The 20,517-nt window shown below is 36.4% G+C and overlaps 1 protein-coding gene and 1 pseudogene across 4 annotated transcripts in view; both read right to left on the bottom strand.

The window, feature by feature from the left end:
- Nucleotides 1–7,170: 7,170 nt before the first annotated feature.
- DKFZP586I1420 (uncharacterized protein DKFZp586I1420) lies at nucleotides 7,171–9,930 on the bottom strand (annotated as a pseudogene). The gene is given in 1 exon segment (NR_002186.1): nucleotides 7,171–9,930. The product of NR_002186.1 is annotated as an uncharacterized protein DKFZp586I1420 (transcript).
- A 2,360-nt stretch (nucleotides 9,931–12,290) lies between these two features.
- The window catches only part of ZNRF2 (zinc and ring finger 2), an 83,093-nt gene continuing 74,866 nt past the window's right edge, over nucleotides 12,291–20,517 (bottom strand). The window contains exons 4-5 of one of the 3 annotated variants that reach the window (NM_147128.4): nucleotides 17,524–17,603; nucleotides 12,291–13,945 (exon numbers count right to left, since the gene is read on the bottom strand). In NM_147128.4, coding sequence (NP_667339.1) covers nucleotides 17,546–17,603 — 58 coding nt within the window. In that variant the 3' untranslated portion in view covers nucleotides 12,291–13,945; nucleotides 17,524–17,545. Of the gene's footprint in view, nucleotides 13,946–13,975; nucleotides 14,041–17,523; nucleotides 17,604–20,517 lie in introns of those variants that run through there. The other 2 variants (XM_047420048.1, XR_007059991.1) reach the window with 2 other exon arrangements.

Below are 20,517 nucleotides of genomic sequence, written 5' to 3'. Positions count from 1 at the left end.
TATAGCTATACAATAGAATGAGTTTTTAAAAATTATTTTTGCTATTCAGCAAAAAATAAAGGAAGAATTATACATGCTAAACATGGGTGATCTTCAGAAATAATTATGTTAGGTGAAGCCAAATGCAAATGACTCTATTTTGTATCATACCATTTATATACAATATCTAGTCAATGGAGACAGAAAGCTGATTAGTGGTTGCCTAGGTCTAGAGGAGGGGAAAATTGAGGGTGATTGCTAATGAGTATAAGGTATCTTTAGGGTGATATAAATATTCCAAAACTGATTATGCTAAGGACCGTACAACTCCAAAAATATATGAAAAACCATTTAATTGTATACTTTTAGTAGGTAGATTTTTATGGTATGTAAATTAAACCTCAATAAACCTGTTAAAAATAATGGTATAAAGAACTGAACAGACCTTTCACCAAAGAAGCTACAGGAATGGCAAATGAGTATATAAAAAGATGATTAATGTCATTAGTGGTTAAGTAGATTGCAACTAAAACCACGAGATACCACTACATACCCACTATAATGGCCAAAATTAAAAAGATGGACACCAACATGTGTTGGCAATAATGTGGTAAAATTGCAACCCTCATACATTGCTGGTGGAAATGTAACATGGCACGGCTACTTTGGAAAACAGTTTGGCAGTATCTTACAAAGTTAAACAAATACTTACCACATGACTCGGCAGTTTCATCCCTAGGAATTTATTGAAGAGAAATGAAATCACATGTTCACACAAAGATTTATATTCAAACGTTCATAGTCACTTTATTCATAGGGGTAGCCCCAAACCAGAAAGAGCCCAGGTACCCACCAATAGGAGAATAACAAACCGTAGCATATTCATTTAATGGAACACTACTACTGATTCAAGCGATGTCTTGCGATGATTCAGGCAACATCATTGCATCTGTGATGTTTCTCAGACACTATGCTGAGCAAAACAAATTTACACAAATAAAGTACATACTGAATGATTTTATCTAATCCACAGTGACACAGAGCAGATCAATGAAGAGCAGATCAATGACTGCCTAGGGCTGTGGGTTGATGGGTGGGAACCCAGTATTAAGAGACTTGAATAACTTTTGAGGGGTGATGAAAATATTCTCATTTTGGTTGTGGTGATAGTCACACAGGTGCATATGTCTTGTCCAAATTAATCAGACTGTACATGCATAATGTTTTTGTTGCACGTAAATTGTAACTTAATAAAGTTGCCTTTACGGAGGTTGCAGTGAGCTAAGATCTCGCCACTGCACTCCAACCCAGGCAACAGAGCGAGACTCTGTCTCAAAAAAATATTAATTAATTAATTTAAAAAAAAAAGTTGCCTTTACAAAGCAATGAAGAGAAAGCTGATTAGGAACATAATACTGTTCTTACTGAAGAAATAGCCCTCTAAAAATGTAAACAAGTTAGGAAATCTGTGTCTGGCTGGCTCTACCTCAATCCTAGTGTTTGAAGTACTTTCACCTACTTTCTCCTTTGTTTCAGTAGCACTGACACACAGGAAGGTCTGGTACAAGGTATAAAAGTCTTACCGGATGTAGAGTCAAATAAAGGGTTTTCCAATGACCTTAATAACCTCATACCTTATAAGAACTGACACAAATACTTATTCAAGAACTAGGTTTCAAACAGCCTGTTATTTATAGATTTGTGATACTCTAAATAATTAAGCCCCATTAGGGCAGGCACTATTCATTTTCCCCATCAATGTATATGTAGTGTCTCACACAGTGTCTTTCATCTATCAAACGTTCAATACGTGCTAAATGAATGAACCAACACAACCAACCACATGTGCTAAATGAATGAATGCTAAATGAATGAATGATAGTGACTGCATTCTAGTTCAAGTAACTCCTATACACATTCTTCTTCAGGGAGATAAGACTTCTGAAGATTACCAGGTAACTGTAAGAATGAAAATCAGACTAGTTATATATTTAGGCTTCAGTAGCTTTCTAGTGATTGATATGAGTGTAGCAGAAGACTATTTTTGAACATTTTTCATTCCTAGTTTGTGTTCCTAGTTGCTTATGGCATTTTATTCAATGACTCATTGATGGTCACTGCTTCGGAAGGGAGAGAAAATGAGGACAAATCAGATATTATTTTGAATGTCAAAGTCAAGTTCTTTAAATCCAAAGGAAGAGAAGTGTCTGGAAGCCAAATGCTTTTGATTTGTCAGAGCCATTCTGGAGGTAAAAAGAGCTTTTGGGAATCTACAAATTCTTTTGTGAAAATTAAGGATCGGAGCCTGGCTGAATTAGGCATTGTCCTATAAACCAGATTTGGGGAGAATGCATAATGATGCCAGAGCAGTTTTCTCATCCAAAAAGAGTCAAGAGTTTGATCAAGCAGGAAAGAAAATTGAAAGGAATATAGCTACAGCTGAGTTACAGAGGTCTGAGACATTCTTGGCACCCTTTAACCCCTATTTTTGAGGTGTATGAGAAAACCTTTGATAGGTTGTACACTGGCTATACAACAGAATCACACTAGATTAACTCAGAATATCTGGGGTGAGGTCAAGACCTTAATATATTTAAAGAGATGCCTCTATACGTCCTTCCTACCTCCTGAGTTGACCTAATGTTAAGCCAAGTATTGAGAACCACTGGCTTACAGGGATCCCAAAGAAGACGAATGTAATGTCTATCTTCCCATGGTGTATGCCAAACTTATAGACAACCTCCCTGCCAACCCTTGCCTGCTGACTCCATTCAAGATGGCATTTGAGCACAGAATCTCTAGGCAAACTAGGGAACATCTTACTGAAGACAGTTTAGACTTGACTACTGGTGCCTCTTATGCGGGATTTTGAAGACTCAGCTTTATGAATTGAGGGTTTGGTGGACAAGTTTGACAGTTTAAGCACTGACGTGGGCAGGAAGCCAACTATTAGCTGGAAGGTCTGAAACCCATGAAAATGCCGCCATAGAACTCAACACAAGGGACAAATCTGACTACAGCTATTATTCACCAGCATCACTCACAATTCCTGATGATTATTTGGCCAAAGTGTCACAAACTGCAATTCCTAACTATATCACTGACCAGGTATTAAAAGCCCATGTGCCCTCACCAAAAACCATAATCACAATGAAAGCCAATGCTATCTATGAATGTACATGAAGATGATTCATTAGACCCTCAACCTTTTAAAGGTATTTCCAGCTCTTTCATTTAAAAATGAGGAAACTGGGACAGGCACGGTGGCCCACGCCTGTAATCCTAGCACTTTGGGAGGCCGAGGCGGGTGGATCACGAGGTCAGGAGATTGAGACCATCCTGGCTAACACAGTGAAACCCCGTCTCTACTGAAAATACAAAAAAAAAAAAAAAAAAAAAAAAAAAAAAAATTAGCCAGGCGAGGTGGCAGGCGCCTGTAGTCCCAGCTACTCGGGAGGCTGAGGCAGGAGAATGGCGTGAATCCGGGAGGCGTAGCTTGCAGTGAGCCGACATCGCGCCACTGCACTCCAGCCTGGGCGACAGAGCGAGACTCTGTCTCTAAAAAATAAATAAATAAATAAATATGAGGAAACTGCCTCAATTTTAGTAATAATTTAGGACAAGTTCTGCTCAAGTGCAGCAGTTAAATAAACTTTGAAAGAGACCCAAGAGTCTTCACAAAGTTGGAATTAGAAGGCCTTCAGAAATATTCAGGTAAGGAGAGATAGGAGTAGAAGTGTCTCCCAGAGTCATCTAGACCTGTGCTGCCAGCACAGTGGCCACTGGTCACATATGACTCTTGATAACTTAAAATGTGGCTATAGTCCTGAATAGAGATGGGCTGTAAGTGTAAAATACACACCAGATTTCAAAGAATAAATATATGCTAAAACAATAGTTTGGATATTAAATACCTTTGGCCTTTGCAACATTTGAATTCCAACAACGGATGAACTTTATATACCATTTGATGAATATCATCTATTTGGATAATATCCTTAGTATTTACAGATTTAATATTCCAAGTGTTAATGTACTACCTTGAAAGGCAGGCACACAGGCTCTGATATTAGTTATTTGATATTTTTCTGAAATATAAATTCATATTTGCTAACACTGTAGAGTCTATGTTCAGTTACCCAACTAGTTATCTTGCCATCAAATGATCAAGCCAATTAGAAAGCATTAAATCTCAAGGTGACTTTGTTGGAAAGATATTTTTTAATTACATACTCTTTAAATCTCTTAATACACATTAAATTAGAAGGTTCATAGAAAACATTACTATAAAAATAAGGCACTACATGGCAGAATTTTAAAACCCTGCTTCATAATTACAGCATCATTAAGGTACTGCAGAAAAATCATTGTTATTTTTACTCATTTTATGTGAGAAGTCAAATCTTAAACCATGTGGTAATATTTATAAAAACAGGTACTTTGGCATCTTTGAATATCTCCCTGTCGGATATTAAGTTTACAATATTTTCACAGGCCTTGCGTGGTAGGAATTCTTGGTCTAGGAAGTCTTAAGTTAACTTTAAGAGAAACTTGTGAAAACTTGGATTGGTGTTTCCATGAGTATGTTGTTATCAAATCAGGGAATCCGTGAGGAGAGTTGCCTCCTTGACCCACAAGGATATCCCAAGGTTTCTGCTGCTCTTCCAAGAAATGTAAGTGTACCAGTATTCGTTTCCTGACTTCTGCTAAACAAAAAAGATTATGATGGGGCCAGCAGCAACTCATAGCCTTCCAAGAAATCATAAATCTCTTCTGGTCCTCCTCTTACCTAGGCCAACCCAACCTATCTCAACAACAGCATCCATCAGGAGAGCAGGCTCTATCTTTCCCATATGTCTACATCTACAAGACCTTGCTTCCAACAGATTTACTTGTGTTGTGAAGATCTGAGAAGACTGGTATAACGGAGAGAGTATGGGACAAATGAACCAAAGGGAAAACCTCAAGAATGCTTCAGAGTGCATCTCAGCATTTCCTAAGTAAACCCAGGAAAGCACGGCTGCATTCCAATAAGCAGCTAGAGCTAAGCAGGGAGGTGACACGAGGAAAAGTCCAACCCAACCAACCTAGACATCGTTAAACTAGCTCAACTATCCCACTTATCACATACTTACCGACATTTGGGTAGAGACACCTCCTGCAGCCTAATAGACACTGCTATGATTTGAATGTTTGCCCCCACTGAAACTTGTGCTAAACTTGATCCCCAATGTATCAGTACGAAGAGGTAGGGCCTTTAAGTGGTGATTGGGTCATGAAGGCTATCTATGTCCCCATAAATGGATTAATCTATGCATGGATTAATGGTTATTATCAAGGGACTGGGTTAGTTACCACAAATGGGTCTGTTATAAAAGCTAGTTTGGTTCTCCCTTGTGAACTCCCTCACCAAATGATGCACTGTGCTGCCTCTGGACTCTGCAGCACTGGCAATAGAATGGACAACTAGAACTTGTCCCAGCTGGGTCAGTGCTGCTCTCTAAATCTTTAAGTTTTGTTCTTCTGTACTTGCTTTCCCTATTTTCATTGCTTTAGTTCTGCCCTTCATCATCTTGCCTGAATTAGTATAAATTTTCTAACAGGTCTCTCTGCCTCCAGTATCATACCTCTCTAATCTTAAGTATAAATGTGATTATCTTTTTCCTGTTTGAAATCCTTCAATTACAGTTTCAGACACAAATCTCTTCATGATTTATCACCTGTTTACCTCTTCAGACATAGCAACTTTTTTTTTTTGGAGACAGAGTCTCATTCTATTGCCCAGGTTAGAGTGCAGTGGCACAATCTCAGCTCACTGCAACCTCCGCCTCCTGTGCTCATGCCTCAGCCTTCCAAGTACCTGGGACTACAGGCGCACACTACCATGCCCAGCTAATTTTTCTATTTTTAGTAGAGATGGGGTTTCATCATGTTGGCCAGGCTGGTCTCAAACTCCTGGCCTCAGGTGGTGATCCACCCTGCCTCGGTCTCCCAAAGTGCTAGGATTACAGGCGTGAGCCACCGTGCCTGGCCAACTTTTTTTTTTTTTTTTTTTTTTTTTTTTTTTTTTTTGAGACAAGAGTCTCGCTCTGTTGCCAGGTTGGAGTACAGTGGCACAATCTCAGTTCACTGCAACCTCTGCCTCCTGGGTTCAAGCAATTCTCCTGCCTCGGCCTCCTGAGTAGCTGGAACTACAGGCGCGCACCACGCCCAGCTAATTTTTGTATTTTTAGTAGAGACAGGGTTTCACTGTGTCGGCCAGGATGGTCTCAATCTCTTGATCTCGTGATCCGCCCGCCTCCACCTCCCAAAGCATAGCAACTCTTTAAGAGTGTCTCGCTTTCCTCCTATGTTTGTATGTGCTAAGCTTTTTGCCTTGGGAATACTCTTCCCAAACTTTCCACTTTGTATGTTCCACATCCCCTAGAGCTATGATCTATTTGTTCTTCAATACTTAAGTTTAATCACTCTCTTGCCTAGTCTGAATAACTTTCCTTTGTACCTCTACAACACCTTGTACATATGTCTATCAGAGCTTTTATTGTTCTCTATTACATGCTTGCTTGCTTTACTCACTAAAAATTCAGTTCGTAGAGATCAGCTGTCTCATATCTACATTCTTGGTCCATACAATCTACAGAGTCAAGTAGTGCTTTATACTTGCTGATATAGTAAAGTCACTGGCTTTTAGTGAGAGTGGAAATCAGCACCCATAATGTTCTCTGTTATACCTAGGTTTCTTTAAACATTTCAGTTAAGGTCTTAGATATTACTACTACACCTCATGACTGGAGCGAATACTAAAATTATTCATAAATGGGCACAAATATGTTTACTGTTTATACTAGCCACTAACATTATTAAGTGCTTACTATGTGTCTGGTGCTTACATACATGTACTCTTCTAATTAATCCTCACACCAACCCTGATGTAGGCAGTATTATCTCCTTTTACAAACAAAGTTGGTGGGGGGGGGAGGGGTGGAGGCCTCTATCTTGCCCAGTGTCCCTAAGACTGTTTCCAGAATTCATGTTCTTACACTAGGAAACTCAATACCTTTTACATCATGAAAATTGTGCTTCAAAAGATTTTTTACTTTTTTTCAAAACACAATGAAATGTTACTAAATACAAGCTAAATGTTAAAAGTTATTGATTATACACTAGCAGATCATCCCTCCCCAAAACTTTTTTTTTTTTTTTTTTTTGCTTGTCCCACTGAGTTTTATTGTAGGGATACACACAAAGGATGTGCCCTCAATTCCATAGTTTCTTGATGGACATGTTTTTCCTCACTGTCCTTTGGCATGAGATAGGACTTTGGACTACCTCAAAGTCCTTCTGAGTGACATGGACTCGCTACTCAGGGCATACATGCCGGTTTCTGTGCACATGCCCTTCACTTCAGCCTGATGCTCCTGGCATAAGCTCAGCAATTTTTCTCAGGTTGATCCCCTGGGTCAGGTTCATTTCTGAGAATGAATCTTCAAAGTGACCAGCCAGGCCTACTCATTGCAGGTTGGGAATTCAATTTTTCTGTCAATGTGCCCTGGGCAAAGCAGTGCCGAGTCCAGGATATCAATCGTATTAGCAGCCGTGATAAACCGTGATACTCTTGGTGGCCTCAAAGCCACCCTCGAAGCATCATCTGCTGCACTTCACTGTTCCCTCCAGCATCCCCCTCCAGCTCTGAGGAGCCAAAAGAGTCAATTTCATCCATGAAGATGACAGATGAGCATTTTCTCTGCCATCACAGAAATTCCCCAATGAATTTCTGTACCAATTCAGAGCCAGAGACATGAATAAAGGTACACAGTCCCTATGATGAGCCAGAGCCCAGGCCAACAGTCTCTTCCAAGCAGCATTCCCTTGGGCTGTGCAATGCCCAGTGCTTTGAAGAGCTCGGGATGCTTAGCAGGCAGGTCGATCACTTCTTTGATCTTCTTGATCTGCCTATCCAGTCTACCAATCATTTCATAAGCTGAATCTGGTACTTTCTTCACCATCATCAGTGACACCAATGAGTCCACCTTGTTGGGTAGGATCTTGTGCAAAGTGTAGCTGTCATTTCTTAGAACCACCAAGGAACTGGGTGTCACATCACTGATGCTGATATTTTTGTCCACATCTATGACAAACTTGTCCTTGAGATGCACCTTGACCAACACTTTCTTCTTACCCATGGCCTGGACTACTTCCCTGACACAGGAGTCCTATTCCTGCAGCAGCTGTAGCTCCTCCTGTAATAGGCACACTTTAACATTTAGTTCATTCCCGTGCACCTGCCGCCTCCAGAGGTTTTGGGTCTTATCATTCAAAATCAGCTGCAAATGCACCTGGAGTTCAGAACTGTTCCTTGTGGCTTTCCCCCATCCAATTTATATTGCAGTTGACCCTGGAGTTCTTCAATCTTGGACAGATAATACTGGCAGAGTCCACTGCCTGCCTTTTCCTCCTCCAGCTCCATCTGCTGTGGTCCGTCAAGCGCCATCTTGTCTTTTCAGCAGAGAACGCTGGCATCTGCTTCCCTCCCCAAAACTTAACAGCTGTCCAATCATATTTAAATTACAATATTTACATATAGGTTTTACATCAGAAATGTCAAAGTACATCTTTTACTAACGGTTAATGTAACAAAGAAAGACTTCTTTACCCATTACTAATACAAGCATTATTACTTAATATAGAATTTTCATTAATAATCTTAAATTCAATTTTGTGGGAATGGATATACAAAAATAAAGAAGCCATAACATTAATTCATGGTATTTTTCAGCATTCAGTTATTTCTTAGTTTTATTGCAATTCATTGTCAACTTCTAGATAGAAGGGAGAATATGACAAATTTCCTTGAAAGCACTCTTCTCTTATTTTCTACTTCTAAATAGTGGGATAATTTAGCAAGATCATTTGGGAGTTTTATTTATTAAAATATGAATAATGAGTTTTTCCATTTCAGTTTAGAATATACTAATACAAGTTTTTCCTAATACGTTTTCTCTGTCTTGTGATTGATGCTTTTGATATCTTATTTAACAGGAAAATACCTAAGAGAGAAAATTAAGGTGTTACAAAAAGAGTTGTGGAAACCATGAATAAAGCAATAGAGCCACGATTTTCAATGAAACTCACATAAACAGTTATTATAAAGAAAGAAAATGTAATAGGCTAGTGTAATAAACAACAGTATCACCAGATTCCAAAATCTCTTTTGACTCTGTAAGGGTCTGCTAACTGTATTATATGCACCTAGGTACTCAAAATGCTACTAATAATCAAACCGTTTGAAATTTTGGTACCAGAATTACCAGTAACAGGATATCAGCAGAACTTAAGTTTATCAAACATAAATCATTAGTACCTACCAATTTCAATCTACTAAGTCAGAAAAGGAAGGCATGAGAATTTAGTAATAGGAGAACTTTGTCATTTCCAGTGCCAAGACTAGGGGTCCTGACAGGTACCTCACTGTACAGGTCAGAGCTAAGAAACACAATGTTGGTTCATGTACAACACTGGTTCATAGAAAACACAATTTTATCACTTAAAACTTTTCATTTATTTCTGGGATGTTTGTTTATGCCATGCTGTTCTTTGTCTCTCCATAAATGAGCAACCAAAAATCTCTCTTATTATTAGCCATTGGTCTAAAATTAATGATAGCTTAAATATCTAAAAATAAACCAAGCCCCTTCTAAGTACAGTAATGTTGCACTTTCAACCAAAACTAAGTATTAATGTATCTGGTTTCCTTCAATGCCTTTCATTTTCCACAGAGAATCAGGTGACTTTGGAGACTGTGTGTTTCACATTTAATACAGGAATTATATGATTTAAAAAGAATATTCAGTTTCCCAGTTTAAGCAAGTCATTCACAAAATATGATACTCAAAGTATTGTTTGGATAAGTTACTACCTAGAAAGATTTACCAGCTATTTTTTTAATATGAATCACTACTACAAGTATACCATGTAGCAATTTCCTCTAAAGAAAACCAAGCAATTTAATTTTAGAATGAAATGATCTGGGAAGAAAAGAAAAGTAGATAGTAAAACAGAGAATTTAGCTACTGTTATTTACAACATAGCAAAGAAAAAATCAGAAGTTACACACTTCAGAAAAAAAGGAATAGGCCAAAGACAAATGTTGGCATGCTAGAATTTTTTTTTTAAACTAAGAAAATACCTGTACAAGAACAAGGGACACTGAACAAGGGCACTTCACATTTAACCACCCATTGCCAACAGATATTGAGTTCACCTCAGGGTAAGAAAATGGTCCAAATGAACTAGAAGACTTCCAGCAAGTAACAAACTATACTCATATTTAATAAGCACCATTTACCTCTATGTAGTTTTATATAGTTCTCAGCAATGTGATTTATATGAGCGCTTCCTCTATGGAAGAATAAGATGATTTGGATATTACTATCAATGCACAGTACGGATGCCAATTAGATGGTAAATTCAATTATTCTTAAATTTTAAAACAACAAGTTTCATGCTTTGTTCAAATACAGCTTATTTTTTGAAAAATTCCCCTCTTCCACTCTCCTAACTTGGTACATAAAGTTAGGTAATATTTACATTGAATTTACAGTCTTTTTCATTTAAAACAGTATCAGTATATCTTGCTGTAAGATATTAATTTAAGTGATTGTTGTTAACTTCACTATACCCAAACTTAGCAATATGGCTGTGAGTCAAATAAACTTTGAAAAGGAACCTGCCATTTTCATTAACTCATTCTGACTGTAATCTTTGAAATACATATGGCAGATACGCTGAGGCTGGCCCGTCATTTTGGGGCTACATTTTAGTAAAGTAGCTAGTGAGTGAAAACTGAAATAATTATACAACATTTAAGAGAAATATAAGTCTTGCACTAAGAAACCAAAACCTACATATTATGTAACATAACCTTTTTAATGTTGTTTTTGCTAACACAAAAAAAGTTATACCATTATTTATATTTCAATCACAACATTGCTCTAAAACACAATCTATAATCCGTCTTGTAACCAGATCTGAAAAACACATATTCAGACTATTCTTAGTTTGTATCTCTGGCAAAAAGCCAAAGTAAAACGGAATAATTTTACTTTCTCCTAAACATTCTGGCAAGGGGGGGAAAAAAAAGCCAGATCAAAGTAAGATGAGGATTCAAAATTGGCAATAAATCCATTATGGACAAACAGTGGCACTAAAGTGAAATTTCAGAACATATTGCTTTCTATATATGCACGTGTGATCTTATTTGAACGTGAGTATTTACAAAGATTCTAGAAAGCTAAAACCAACTTGGTAACCTAGGCTTTCAATCTTTATTGTGTCCCCCATAATAATTAGTTGTCAGAAGTTTCAGCTTAGTATTTAAATATCTATTGTGATTTTATATCTTACTTATACTATTCAGTGTTTGCAAAATAGATTTACGAATATTTTAAGTGACATTATATAGAACATTACTTGTATTTTCCAGAATAACGACTTTGACTTTGAATAAAAACTGGAGCATTTGGGCTTTAAAAACATTTTTCCCCCAATTTCTAAGTTGCTCTTTTTAGGAAGTCACTGATAGAGATGGAATTTAAAGTAAAAATGCCAACTTTGTAAATTTTGTCAAAAAAGGGATTGCTATAAACAGACTTAAGTGAATACTGTTCCAGACAAATATAATCATCAAGTAGCACTTGACACTGACAAAACACTGAACTTTCTTTAAAACCATAGGAGCTTCTATTGTAGCAAATGCAGCACAGAACCTTATGACAAAGAGGGGCTAAAAAGTGAATTTAAGCCAATATAGGTTAAAAAGTAAACAAGTGAACTATTAAATTGGCGCAAAAGTAATAGCAGTTTTTGCAATGACTTTTGCATTAACCTATCAGAAAATCAACTTCCAGGAGAATACAGTTAATCCCCACAGCTGTAATAAATCTCTTCCTTTAAGAATGGAAGACAACAAAATAATTCTCATCACAAGAGTATACCAGCAATAGAAAATGAACCAATTATTCACATTCTAAGAGGTTTTACTTGAGGGGGTTGAGCAGGAGGGTATGAAAGCTTACAAAATCAAAAATGTGAAATAAAATGAAATCAAATTAAGACTTCATGGTAACAGAAAAAAACAGAAAAAGAATCGTTTCCTTAAGGGACGAATATTTTTCATAACTAGTAAAAAAGCACCTATTAAACTGTGCCTTCAGCTGTCACAATGGAGGTTTTGGATTCCTTTAGCAATTGCAGCATAACAAAAGGCATTTCACAGCATAACTTCAGGGAAAATGTTATCTGAGCTGGAATCATACAGAAAGCAATTAAAAACTCTTTAATTATTTATAATACACACATTTTTCTGGGTAGCAGCAGTTGCTCCTGTACTTGCCCTTTTAAAAAATGTGAAACAGAAGCAAGAAAGTAGGGGGAAAAATTTAGAGAAGATTAAGAGTAGCAGCGTTAAATAAAACAGCAAATTCTTAAATACATTATGAGTAAAGAAAGATTAAAATAAGGAAACAGTACTTACTGTGCAACTTTAAATTATACCAAGTAAAGTACACCACCTATTCACTGATAACATTTTCCCTACGTTGAAAACACAAAACCTACTTATCGATATTTTTGATATTAAAAAAAAGGACATTCACTATTGTAGCCCTGACAACTCTTCCAGTATTTTTAACCATTCAGATGTATTATGTGGGAATATTTATTAACATAATTTTGTTTAACACATTTCTTTCTACACAAACTGAATTTAAAAGTGTCTATAACATTTTCAATTACAGTAATAACACATGAATAAATTATAAATTAACAAAATCTTCATATCTACTTTAAAAAATCATTTATCAAATGCTAACCTCCAGATTATCTGGAAAATTAAAGTTGCAAATTGCTATAAACCTGGCATCCCAATTAAATTACAGTTTTTAAAGGTATATAAAATCTCCCTCAAATTCCAAGTTCCTCTCCAGAAAATTTTATTTTACCCTTTTCTTAAGTTTACAGCCTGCTAAACATTTTACCCAAATGTGAGAGAACTGCCTGGAGATGCAAAGCACAATAAAATAATTAAGTGAAAAGAACAAACAAAAGATACCCGTTAAAACAGTTATTTTAGCTGGCAGCACTTGAAATTGGTAATCTGTATTTTTTTTAAATTGCATAGCTGCAAGATGATTCACTGCTGATTAACTGTTGAGCAGTTTTATTTAAGAGGATAAGAATATTTAATAAATTGCAATTCAGTAGAATATTCTATATTTAATTAAAATGTAATTATGTAATATGATTTGCTCTTTGGACTGCATTCTGATATTAAACCTTTAATTTAAAAATATTAACATATTTTAGCTTTCCTATGTAGAAGTCTATTTTCCACTCGTGGGGGAGAAAATGGAAGAACTTGAGATCATGGTCTACATTCAGATGTTTTTACTGCTTGATTACATTTCTTGGTTTCACATTTAAGACTTCAATTTATAAGAAGTAAATTATATGTTTTTCAATTTAAGAACAGATGAATGCAGAAACATTATGAACATTATGTTGGGGAAAACAAAGAGACCCCAAATTAAAAAACAAAACAAATCAAAACATAACTAGTTGTGCAGCTCTGGAGAACTTAATAAAAAGTAAATCAACTTTTAAATCAGTTAACTTTGGCGTCTGAATACAAAATGTTTATCAGTATTACCTATGTAGATGACTATTAAGGGATGTGCAGCATTTTCAAAATCCCTGTGTGTCCTTTGTATGCATGTTTGGTACACTGAGTTCTGTGGTCACTGTCCTCTCTTCAGCAGGGTTTTTTTACCCCAGTACGATTGTCCATCTCTGTATTACCAAGTCTCACAAAACTCAGATTTCTGGCTGAGTATGCCTGCGTCTTTGTTTCTCCAGAGACAGATTTTCATATCCTCTTGGTTTTTCAAGCATCTTGTCAAGACAAGAAAACCTGTGTAAAAATAGATTTCCCCATGAACATTGCTTTAGTTACTGTAAGTCTTCATACCCTTACTTACTATTCTGAAAACTCATAAAATCAGTGATCTGGAGAAGAACAGATTAAGAAACAGAAGGATCAATTAAAGTTTAGTCACAAAAAATACATAACAAAGTCATCCCCCTTTCACAATAAGGACTACACGCAAGTAAAGAATGCACACACACGGAGATTTAAAATATTTCTCCCAAATAACTAAAAACCCCAAAATAAGTACAGCAATTTTCTAACTAATCAAGACCACAAATATTCATGTCTCTCTATTTTGGGTTGATTATTAAATTCTTATGCTGAAGGATATCAGAAACGTTGAGCTTTATGGCTACACAGTGCCTTACAAAATGTTTTAACAACACTGAATCCTCCTCAAACCCATATACCTTTAATCTAGGACTATTAAAAGGTATACAAGAATTTATCACTTGATAAATAAGAACAGTCAGGACAGAAGCAAAAATGTACAAGTCAAGATATTCCATGTCTATAAACTCTTAAAAATGACTCTTCAAGACCCACAGAAGCAGACTCCATTGGTTCAGATTTCTGTAGACACCTGATTAACAGAGTTCACCCTGCCCATGTAGTAGGCTAGTTTCAAATTCAGGTTCTATATTCGAAAACAAACAAATAAGCAAATATAACACTCATATGTAACATAAGAAAATGGAAATGTTGTTGAAGACCAACAGACATATGCATTTCAGCTATGAGATGAGATGTATGCTCCACATATCCCATAAGCTCACTGTGACACTAAAGGAAAAATTTAGCTGATGAAAGAAAAAAAATTTATACAATATAATTCCACCTCACCAAAAAAAAAAAAAAAAAAAAAAAAAGCTTATCAGCTCTATGGTCTAAATGTTTGTGTACTCCCAAAATTGCTATGTTAAAACCTAATCTGCAGTGCTATAGTATTAAGAGGTGGGGCCTTTGGGACATGATTAGGTGATGAGGGCTCTGACCACATGAATGCAGTTAGTATCCTTATAGAAGCTTGAGGGAGTCTGTTATCCCACCACGTGAGGACACACAGAAGGTGCCATAAATGAGCAATGAGCCCTCATCAGACACCAGATCTACTGGCTGGAACCTTGATCTTAGACTTCCCAGCTTCCAGAACTGTGAGCACTAAATTTCTGTCATGTATAAATTACTCATCTAAGGTATTTTGTTATAGCAGCCCAAAATGCACTAAGAAAGACTAAAAAGACAAATTTTATCTATAGATGAAGGATTTAGATGTATTACTTTGGCATGTAAAATACTAAGACAAAAATTTCATTTTGTTAGCATCAGTTTCAGTACTTCCCTTAAAATGCTTCTATAATTTTAGCCACAGTTTCGTTTTGTCTCAAACATAAGGTGACAATGAAGGCATTCCAAACCTTTTCTATGGTGAAATAAAAACATATGTGCACATATATTCAAAATACCACTCCACCACTATACTTCTCTTACCTAGCATTCTTACTTCCATTCACATTTTATTTATTTATTTATTTAGACAGGGACTTGCTAAGTCACCCAGGCAGGAGTGCACTGGTGTGTTCATAGCTCACTGCAGCCTCAAACTCCTTATCTCAAGCAATTAGTGTTCAGCCTCAATTCATATTTTAAATGTGTCAAGGCATGATCTAAGTAAGTTCACAGGAAAGGTTAAAATTGGCAGTCTTTTAGTACTCTGCAGTCTACCAAGGCTTCCACATTTCACATGCACATGCGTAGTCTTATGACACTCAACTGCAGTTCTCATTTCAGGTGCTATTGCTGCTATTATCTCAAATCTTCTCTGTCAATATTCTAATCTGCTACTCTTAAATCATCTTCCACCAATACAGCAACAGAATTCCTTGAGGGTGTTTATTACCTCAACACTTTTATTCTCAAATTTAAGAGAAGTTATTGAAATAAAAGGAAATGGTACCACACAGGACTAGACCTCTGGACGTCATCTGGTCTAGTTCCTTGCCATCAGTCTCAGCCTCCTAGAAAAGCCGGCTGTTACTGTCTTGAGTCCCTGAACAAAGAGACTCTCACTCCTGAAACAATTCTAGGATTAGCTAAAATGCTCTGCCTTGATATAACAATCCAATGCTTTATATCATCTCTCCAAGTCTTTTCATAAAAGCTTTTCATATATTTGAAGATAGCAATTAAGTTAACCTTTATTTTTTCAAAGCTAAATGATGTCAATTTAATGCACTTGTGAAATGTGAAAAAAAAAAGCCCTATGAAAATACCCAATTGAGGTCAGCATTCAATTCACTAAACATTTTCAGATAATGCAGAACCATGAAAAACTTAAATCAGTAGAACAAAACTAGTTTTTTTTTCAGTCGTAAAATGCAACTTTATTTTTTGCCTACTATATAGACAGGCACTGTATTACATGCTAAAGATATAAAAGTGAATGATTAAATTGAATGAATAAATTTATGATGCGACTGTTTGAAGAAAATGTTCCTACCTAAAAAGAGCAAAATTGCTAAGAACAGTCTTTGGAACCAGAATACCTGGGTTCAAATTTCATCCCCACCAACAAACTAGTTATCTGAACTTGAAAAGTCAAGTTTCTTAACCTCTCTATACTTAATTTCTTCATCTGCGTAATAGGAACAGTAATGGTACTGAGCTCAAAACGGTTATTGTAACAATTAGACAAGTTACTAATAGATGTAAAATGCTTACAACAACACCTGGCACATGATAATACTAAATGATTAGAATTATTATTTTTTGGTTTGGTTGTTTTTGAGACAGTCTTGCTCTGTCACCCAGGCTGGAGTGCAGTGGCATGATCTCGGCTCACTGCAACCTCCACTTCCTGGGTTCAAGTGATTCTCTTTTGTTTTTTGTTTTTTTTGAGAAGGAGACTCGCTCTGTCGCCCAGGCTAGAGTGCAGTGGCACGATCTCAGCTCACCGCCAACTCCACCTCCTGGGTTCACACCATTCTCCTGCCTCAGCCTCCCAAGCAGCTGGGACTACAGGCACCCGCCACCAGGCCTGGCTAATTTTTTTTTGTATTTTCAGTAGAGACGGGGTTTCACCGTGTTAGCCAGGGATGGTCTCAATCTCCTGACCTCGTGACCCGCCCGCCTCGGCTTCCCAAAGTGCTGGGATTACAGGTGTGAGCCACCATGCCCAGCCTCAAGTGATTCTTGTACCTCAGCCTCCCGAGTAGCTCGGATTACAGGTGTGCACCACCAAGCCTGGCTAATTTTTGTATTTTTAGTAGAGACAGAGTTTCACCATGTTGGCCAGGCTGGTCTTGAACTTTTGGCCTCAAGTGATCCACCTGCCTGAGGCCTCCCAAAGTGCTGGGATTACAGGCGCGAGCCAGCATACCCAGCCAACAATTAGAATTATACAATATTTTTAATGTAAGTTTTCTATGCAGTAGCCTAAGTGTCTGAAACATACACATACACACTCATGCACCTCAATGAGTAAATGAATAAATAAAAATTATAGTTTAGAATGTATAATTTGGGCTAACGCTTTAAAAAGTAATTACAAAAAAAATTACCTATAAAACAGGAAGCTGACGCTTAATCTGAAGGGTGCTCAGGGCAAGATCTATTTACTTCAAACCATTCATCTATGCAGCTAGAAAGGAACAAAACCAGAAAAATTGAGATACTTATACTAATTATTTATATAATGAGAGCCACAGTAAAAATACTTGACTTTAATATATTTTTTACAGAAAAAAATGAGCATTTTAAATTATATTTGGCATACATAAGCAACAGATAAGAATGTTTATTATATTTTGATTCTAAGCGATTAAGAAAAAAACCTTTGCAAAATTATGCTATAAAGTACTTTAAAGTTCAAACAGAACTACTTCCAAAAGATAATCTGAACTACCACTTTACCAATATTCAAAACTGAATAACAAATTTGCATAATTTTTCTTTTCAAAACAGTTATTCATTTATGCACATTATCAACCTGTTCATGTCACCTATAAATGTATTAAAAAACGGCTTTTAAATTTTAATCCTTGCCAATATTTCATTTTTAAAGCTATATTTATATGTGATTATTGAATATTTAAATCCTATCCCACCATGTAATACATATACATACACAAATAAATATACATTAATCATTTGTATTTAGGAAGTATTTTATGATCTTATTTTATTAGAAGCTAAATATTAGGGTGCATATGATCATCGTCATTGTGGATCTGCACTGTCCAACAGAGTAGACAAGAGCCACACACTGGTTATTTAAGATTTATTGAAATAAAATAAAAAAATCCAGTTCCTCAGTCACACTAGCCACATTTCAAGCACTCAACAGCAACATGGCTCACGACTACTCTAGGGGACAGCATAGATATAGAACATTTCCATTATGGTAGAAAGTTCTATTTCACAGTACCATGATAGGTGAAAAAATCAAGGTCTACTAACTAGCTATTACTTGCCTAACAGCTAGCAAGTTATCCAAGCAGGATTCAACCTGTTCAACATTTTCATTGGTGACATATTTCAAATTTGCATATGCCGCAAAGCTACAAGACTTGGTTAATATACTGAAGGGCAAAATTAACATTTATCATCCTCATGTCCAGATAGGTTGGTTTGGTAGGTAAAAGTGATAAGATGAAACTAAAAAGAAAAAAGGTAGAGTACCACATCAACAGGTTCTTTCAAATATCTGAATTTCAGCTGCCATTAAGACTTTTGTTCTCGAAATATATAGCCAGTTTGGCTTAAGACATTGTTTTCAGCCTGCTCTCTACCACTTGGCCCTGGAAGTTCCACTGTGTCTACCAGAAAACCTCTTAAAACAAAATTCTGAGCATCAAATAAAATACTCCAGATGTGTTAATTCATAATATATCTGAATAGTATCTATTTGCGAGCTAACATGAGTACTCCTTATTTTACAACCAGGTAACTCTGGCTCATCATGAGAAAGTAATCATTTAAAACTCCAGGTCCTCTTCACATAAACGTCTGTCAATCTACATATGTTCCATTCTAGGCTATATTCATTTGTTATTTACATGATTATATTCCCTTCTCTCAGACCTAGCAGGAAAGCACTATTCTCAATTTGGTATTTTTCATTTCTAGGCATCTTCTTACTCTATATAACTATATATGTGTATATTCTAAAACAACATATAGTACTGCTTCCATGTTTAAAATTTTATATAAATGCTACCATAAAACAGCATTATGCTTTTTGTAACTTGCTTTTTTTGCTCAATTTGAGATTTGCAATTGTTAGTAAGTCTCTTGCTTTTACATTTTCGCTTTTTGTTTTTTGAGACGGAGTCTTGCTCTGTCGCCCAGCCTGAAGTGCAGTGGCAACATCTCAATTCACTGCAAACTCTGCCGCCTCCCGGGTTCAAGCAATTCTCCTGCCTCAGCCTCCTGGGTAGCTGGGATTACAGGCGCCACCTGCCACAAACCCAGCTAATTTTTTTTTTTTTCCAGTAGAGACAAGGTTTCACCATGTTGGTCAGGCTGGTCTTGAACTCAGGTGATCCACCCACCTCAGCCTCCCAAAGTGTTGGGATTATAGGTGTCAGCCACTGCGCCTGGCCTGTTTTTACATTTTCATTGTGTACAACATTCCATTATATAAATATAAACAATTTACATATACATTCTTTCACTGATGGACATTTTCAATGATGCTATGAACATTCTTTGAGATAAGGAGTTTGCGCCCAAATACAAGTTAATTTCCTCACTAATCACACTGTTTCAAATGACTTTAAAAAATCACAGCAAGGCTTTCTCAATGAAAGAAGCATAGTGTTGATTTAACTGGCAGAAACTCTTTATTGCCTTCTGGACTTGTACTTTGAATAGTAGCACTGTCTTAGAGCAAAAGATCAAGAGTTTCTCTAGGGCATATATGTAGAGGTGGAATTACTGAGTTGTAGAATATGTACTCCACACAGCTATTACAGGGTTATCTACCAAATATGCCTATTTGTATTATTTATTGGCCAATTGAGGGTCCTTTTTTCTGAATTAACTGATAGTTTTCTAGGAAACTATTATCCAGGTATTTCAGTTATAATATACAGGCTTTTGATAAACACTGCTTTCCACAAAACTTTAAGCTAAAGTAACAGGGCTTGTGGGAAAAGTCAGGTTAAAGGCAGACTACTCAAATAACACAGTTTTATCACCAGAACAAAGACATGCTCATTCCTAATAAATAGAACACGACTGTAAATACGTTTTTTTAAAATGGTGAAGTTAGCCTTACAGAAAGAGGATTAAGGTAGGATTGAGACTGCTGAGTTATGAAGAAAAAAGCTAATGCACAAATTGTGAGAACTGTGAAATATTAGGACTCCACAGCAAAGCCCATGGTCTAATTAAACTAAGAGTAAGAACATGGGGAGATGGGTATACTGTATTCTTATATAGCTCGTTGTTAGCATATACTTTCATCTGCTGTTATCTGATGAAGCAGAACATTAATGTGCTGGAAAATCTTATGTAGAACCAGTAAGATCCTGTTATTATATTGTCTTCAC

The sequence above is a fragment of the Homo sapiens genome, chromosome 7 (genome assembly GCF_000001405.40).
Source record: "Homo sapiens chromosome 7, GRCh38.p14 Primary Assembly".
Lineage (NCBI taxonomy): Eukaryota > Metazoa > Chordata > Mammalia > Primates > Hominidae > Homo > Homo sapiens.
The sequence above is the reverse complement of the archived record's forward strand: the minus strand, read 5'-3'. Positions and strand labels throughout refer to the sequence as shown.